Below are 5,560 nucleotides of genomic sequence, written 5' to 3'. Positions count from 1 at the left end.
AAACCCACACAAAATGGCCGCCATCTTCTCTTCGCCGCCGACTCTCAGTCGCCGGCCGGGCCTATACCCCGCCTCCCCCAGCCTCGACCCCCGGCCGCCGCGGCCCAGCGGGGCCCCTTCTAAGGCCACCCGCTGACCCTGGCCACTTGTACCCGGGTCCCGCGGAGTTCGGGGGCCCGAAAGGCACAAAGGGGTCACGTGACGAAGCTGCCGGCAGCCATTTTGTGTCTTAGTTCTTGGGTTGGGCCTTGTGCATCCGGAGAGGGGAACGGGCTGGGTGGCTGTGGGGGTGCGGCGAGTCGGGAGCCGTGGAGGACCCGCCTACAGGCCTCTCCGTGGGCCGCTGGGTGGCGCTCCAGGGCCACTGCGGCCTGCGCGCCGCTGCCCGGGCCGGGAGCGCAGGTTCTGTGCACAGTCGGGGAATTTGATTGCCCCATGGTCTGGGAAGCTTGTTGGGCTCAGTGCAGCCCCCACGTGGAGCCTCAGACGGGCATGTCATGTCGCCTGCTGCTCTATGAGGCTTTTCTCCCCCTCTGCAAGGAAATGTCGAGGGTGCAGCGTGTTTGCCCGGACGACTTACTTTTCTAGAAGATAAGACTTACTTTCAGTGTCCTCTTTCTGGGACGTTTGTATCCATCCCTCTCCAGAGCTAGTTGGTCGGAGGATAATAAACCACTATCCCTGACTTTTTCTGTGATCCTTGCGAATATCTTGCAGATTTGTTTGGAGTACCTCTCTCTTCTGAAGCCTGTAACCTTACCTATTTGTAAAATAAATTTAAGTTCTCCTGCTCTCTGGTATCTCAACATAGGGGGAGAAAAGACCCAATTTAAGTAACTTTTATAGATCTAAATTTCGAAGGAGGATCCTTTCTTATTCAAAACCGAACTAAAACTAAGTGACTTGATTCACAGAAATCTTAATATTGAGATGTCTAAATTGGGTGGGTTTCAGCACGTAAATGTTGACAACTAATAGACATTTTACCATCGCTGTGGCTTTACCTTGTTGTGGAAGTTGGGTTCGGACACCAGGATAATAGAATCTTCCTCTCATTTCCCCCAGATCCTTGACAGTATAACTTGATGACTTCTAATCCTAAGGAATTGCATACCTTGGTTTTCAGGTACAGCCATTTAAACAGGGTGCAGTGTATTGACAGTTCAAGGAAGTCCAGGAGTCGCGTGGATTTGTGTGCTACAATTTTGTTGTGGAAAATTGTACTGTAATACTTCTCTTGGTACTGTAAGAATTTTTAATGTAGAAATTATGCTCTGTAATGTTGTTTTTGGAAATAAAACTGTTTAAACTCTTTGGGTTGTTTAACCTTTTAAAGTGAAATAGCTGTGACAGTGAAATGTTACTTTTGAGAGTAGTGTCTTAAATCTAACTTTACAGATAAGCCAAGTGTATGTAGTAGCTCAGATTGTCTAGTTGGGCACTGACTTTCAGCACATTGTCTCATGAGACACTACCTCTTAATTTATTTTACTTGTATCAACTTTAGAGTAGCATGGCCATTTGTTTATTTTTTAATAAGTGATTTGTTTTTAAAAATTAAAGTACTTGTGACTGCAGAATCTTGTCTTTTGGTTTTATTTTTATTTCTAAGTTTTACAGATAATACTTTCAAGTATTGGGGTGTTGGTTTTACCCTGCCCTGGAAATTAATTTGTAATTCTTGTTCAGCAGCCAAGGAAGGGGAAAGCCTTGATTAAAGCAAGACAGCACAACAGTACACTTTAGACTTTAGTTAAGTCTTGCTTCTGTGAATACTTTGGACAGTCCCAAGAGTTACAACCTGAAGTCAGAGCTGAGCTCAATGAAGTATCAGTGCTTGTTAAATTTTACGGGTAATTTTTATTCGCTGAAATAATTTAGATTTTTCTTCTTTTCTTTTCTGAGATGGAGTCTCACTCTGTTGCCCAGGCTGGAGTGCAGTGGCAGCATCTCGGCTCACTACAACCCTCCGCCTCCCGAGTTCAAGTGATTCTCCTTCCTCAGCCTCCCCAGTAGCTGGGATTATAGGCGCTTGCCACCGCGCCCGGCCGATTTTTATACTTTTAACAGAGACGGGGTTTTGCCATGTTGGCCAGACTGGTTTTGAACTCCTGACCTCAGGTGATCCGCCCGCCTCGACCTCCCAAAGTGCTGGGATTACAGGCATGAGCCACCGCGCCCGGCCAATTTTGACATTTTATACTGCAGTGGCTATCAATAGTTTGTAACATGTGGAGTCCCTAATTTTGAAACACAGGGATTTTTTTTTTTCTTCAGATTGCCTTTTCCAAATATCTGTTTAGAATTTTTCACTTCACATCCAACCAAAGCTATGTATGAGGAGAGAAGCATAGACCTCAAGAATAGACACTGAACCTAATGGAAGAATGTAAAAAGTACCTGGTAAACAAGCTGCTTTACAGTCCTGTGGTTCATGCTGTTAGTGGTAGGGTGTGTAAATCATAATATTGAAAGTAGTGTGTTATGCAGTGTTGAAAAGGTATATTAAACATAAAGGTAATTGAATTCTGGATTCTCCATAGAAAAACAAACTTTTTGATGTGCGGAAGTATTTTGTACTTCTAATAAAGAGGAAGGGTTAAAGCAAACTTCTGCCTTTAACTGACACATTAGTTATTTGTTATCTTATTAGGTCACTGTAACCTAGAACCTGAACTGACTGTCTTAGAAAAAAAAGTATGTAGTCCTATGTTGGTCCTGAAAGGTGAGGGCAGTTTTTTTATACACCACCTGATTAAAGCATTTTATTGATCAAAATAATCTGCAGAATTGTCATGTGAAATACACCTAGTAATTGTTACGTTGTTTCTGGATATACTTGACAGAAATCCAGGTCTTTTAACATTGGGAAAATAAGTATTATTCGTGTATTCCCATTTAACCAGTTTTAATACTATGAGCTGCACACACGGGCCTAACGAGGCAGACTTTTTAAGAAACAACTTTAAGTAGAAGCCCTTACACCCCCCCCCCAAAATAATTTGGAGGCAGAAAATGTTACTGAACTTATCTATTTTTTTAATTGTAGTAGTACTGAAAAAGTAACTTCAGATTGTGGTAAATTGAAGGATTTGACTGGGTCAAAGATGTTAGAGATTAAATGTGAATTCGCAGAATGTAATGCATCGAAATTTGCTAAGTCTGAAAGTAACAGATTGGCAGGATGCGGTGGCTCACGCCTGTAATCCCAGCACTTTGGGAGGCCGAGGCGGGTGGATCACCTGAGGTCAGGAGTTCGAGACCAGCCTGGCCAACATGGTGAAACCCTGTCTCTACTAAAAATACAAAAATTAGCCAGCCGTGGTGGCAGCTGCCTGTAATCCCAGCTATTCGGGAGGCTGAGGCAGGAGAATCGCTTGAACCCGGGAGGTGGAAGTTGCAGAGAGCTGAGATCCCCCCACTGCACTCACAGCCTGTGCAAGAAGAGCGAAACTCGTTTCAGAAAAAATAATTTAATTAAAAATAAAGTAACGGATGATGAAAACAATGTATTTAATGAAGTACAGATGTGACTTAAATCACAGCGAAATAATAGACTTTCAGCTCTGAGATAATTGAGTCCCTTTGGGGTTTAAAAAAAGATAAAAGTTTAAACAAGTGCTTGGTTGGTGTGGGGCATATGTCCTATTATGAATATTTTACAATGTTAACTTTAAGATTATAATTTAATTATCTTTATAATCTTAAATCTTGTGCTACGGCTTCGCATTCTATTGAAAGGTTAAACTTACCAAATGGATTAATACTATCAAATCTTTTTATTAAAATTGACTCTTGATTAAAATTGGAGCTTTATGTTGTTAACAATTCTCCTTTATGGAAACATCACTTTTAAAAAGTCGATTTTAAAATGATGTTTAGCAAAATGGAGCTACTGTTCCACAGTAGTTTAACTTTTCATTGGGTTGTCTAGGGTGCGTTGTTCCATTTATGAGGGGGTGGCAACTTAACCTTTCCTCTCCTGTTACCTAGACTGGTTTGGGGAGGAGATTTGGTGTAATTAAGATGTTAATGATGTTTTCATATTGATACTACCCTACAGTCACCTTTGAAACTGTTACAAGTAGGATCTAACCACCATAATCCAGCACCTTGGTTCTATAGGATTCTAACAGGACAGGATGGTCTTTATACTCCCACCTTTTCTGTATTACTGGCACAATATACATTGTTACTAAGCCCAAGTTAAGAACTATTTATAAGAAGTGGATGGGAGTTGTTTGTTTTTAATTATGGGGAAATGGGAAATATGTACATATCCTTGATATGAGAAAAAAATGGTTACCCCATTTCCAAAACTTAGTAATAAAAACCTAGTTTAAATTTAAATCACTTTGAAAGAAACCAACAGTCTCTTTCTTTAACCTTTAATATTTTAAACCAATATTTTTAGTCCCTTTATCTGGAGCTGTAAAGATCAATCTAGATTTCTCCATTCTATCCACTCTCTTGGAAGTGAAGAGAAATACATGAAATCTCAATTATAGTAGAAGCAAAGTTTAACAAACTAATTACAGATAGTTTGAATTAGAAAAGAATTGAGAGTATGGGGATTTTTGCATTAGATTACAATTACTTCAGATAAAATCAAAGAGAATTAATAAAATGTTTCAGCTTTCTATACTGTCCAAAGGTATTTTTGCATAAAGTTGCTAAGCTAGGGTTCTGAGGATTATGTGGAAATAATTCTGGAAGTGATGGATTCCCACCATATGCCTATAAAATGTTAGAATATATTTTTCTAGGGAGAAGGTTCACACTTGTCATCAATTTCTCAAAGTATCGGTAATGGGCTGGGGCAGAAAGCCCAGGGGTTAAGATCAGCTGTTCCATAAATTTCAAACTGAGTCATTTTGGTTTTATCTCAGTTTGGCAGTTACTAAATAGACTTAGTCAAAGGAGGATAATTGAAAAAGGACAGGCAGTCCAGGAAGAGACTAAGGATTCTTGAATACAGAAGGGACCTTTTGAACACTTTACATGCCTATGCACCTGAAATGTTAGTATTAACTTTTGTTTCAGTATACCATTTGAATGTGTTTATGTATCTAATGGTATTTTGTGGGTGCTTTTCATGATCAGCAATGGCATTTGTACTGAATTACATTTTTTTCTGTTAATAGGACTTAATTAAAAGTACTGCCTACAGTGTAGCTTAAATTTTGTAAACGAGAGAAAAAATTCTGCATAAAGGTTCATGAATGTGTGGGCAGGATTAAATATACCAACCAATCCTGTTAAAAATGGCTGGGTTTTAGTTTTATATTTTGCATTCTACTGTGTCATGGTATGTACTGGTAGTAATGGTAGAAACATAGAATCTATACACACACACAGACACACACACACAGACATGTGTCCATGTTTTAAAGCACTTAGTAATGGCAAGAGTCCTTTTTATGTATGTAAAGATGTGATTTCTGATTACATTTATTACTCAATTTTCTTGAAAAGTTAAGGATGCTTAATTGTTAACAGCAGTTAGTTAAAAGCAGAAGATAGCATTTTAAGGGAGCAATAATACCATGGAATTGTATCA

General features: G+C 39.7%; 1 protein-coding gene across 17 annotated transcripts in view, besides 1 other annotated feature; it reads left to right on the top strand.

Annotated features, from left to right (window-relative positions):
• The window catches only part of EPC1 (enhancer of polycomb 1), a 111,019-nt gene that overhangs the window by 32,081 nt on the left and 73,378 nt on the right, over positions 1-5,560 (top strand). For 2 of the 17 annotated variants that reach the window (NR_168506.1, NR_104160.2), the window contains exon 2: positions 1,127-1,577. The exons of 13 other annotated variants lie outside the window; for them this stretch is intronic. The gene's annotated coding sequence lies outside the window, so the exon portion shown is untranslated. Of the gene's footprint in view, positions 1-1,065; positions 1,578-5,560 lie in introns of those variants that run through there. 2 more of the 17 variants (NR_168507.1, NR_104159.2) reach the window with 1 other exon arrangement.
• Positions 221-500: a silencer, noted in NCBI's record as "silent region_2286". NCBI's record gives its function as "represses an Ori minimal core promoter by ATAC-STARR-seq in GM12878 lymphoblastoid cells {active_cell/tissue: GM12878}" and the evidence as "EXISTENCE:reporter gene assay evidence [ECO:0000049][PMID:35858748]".

Source organism: Homo sapiens, chromosome 10 (assembly GCF_000001405.40).
Source record: "Homo sapiens chromosome 10, GRCh38.p14 Primary Assembly".
NCBI classification, from domain to species: Eukaryota; Metazoa; Chordata; class Mammalia; order Primates; family Hominidae; genus Homo; species Homo sapiens.
Note: the sequence above shows the minus strand (reverse complement) of the source record. Positions and strands in the feature narration are given on the sequence as shown.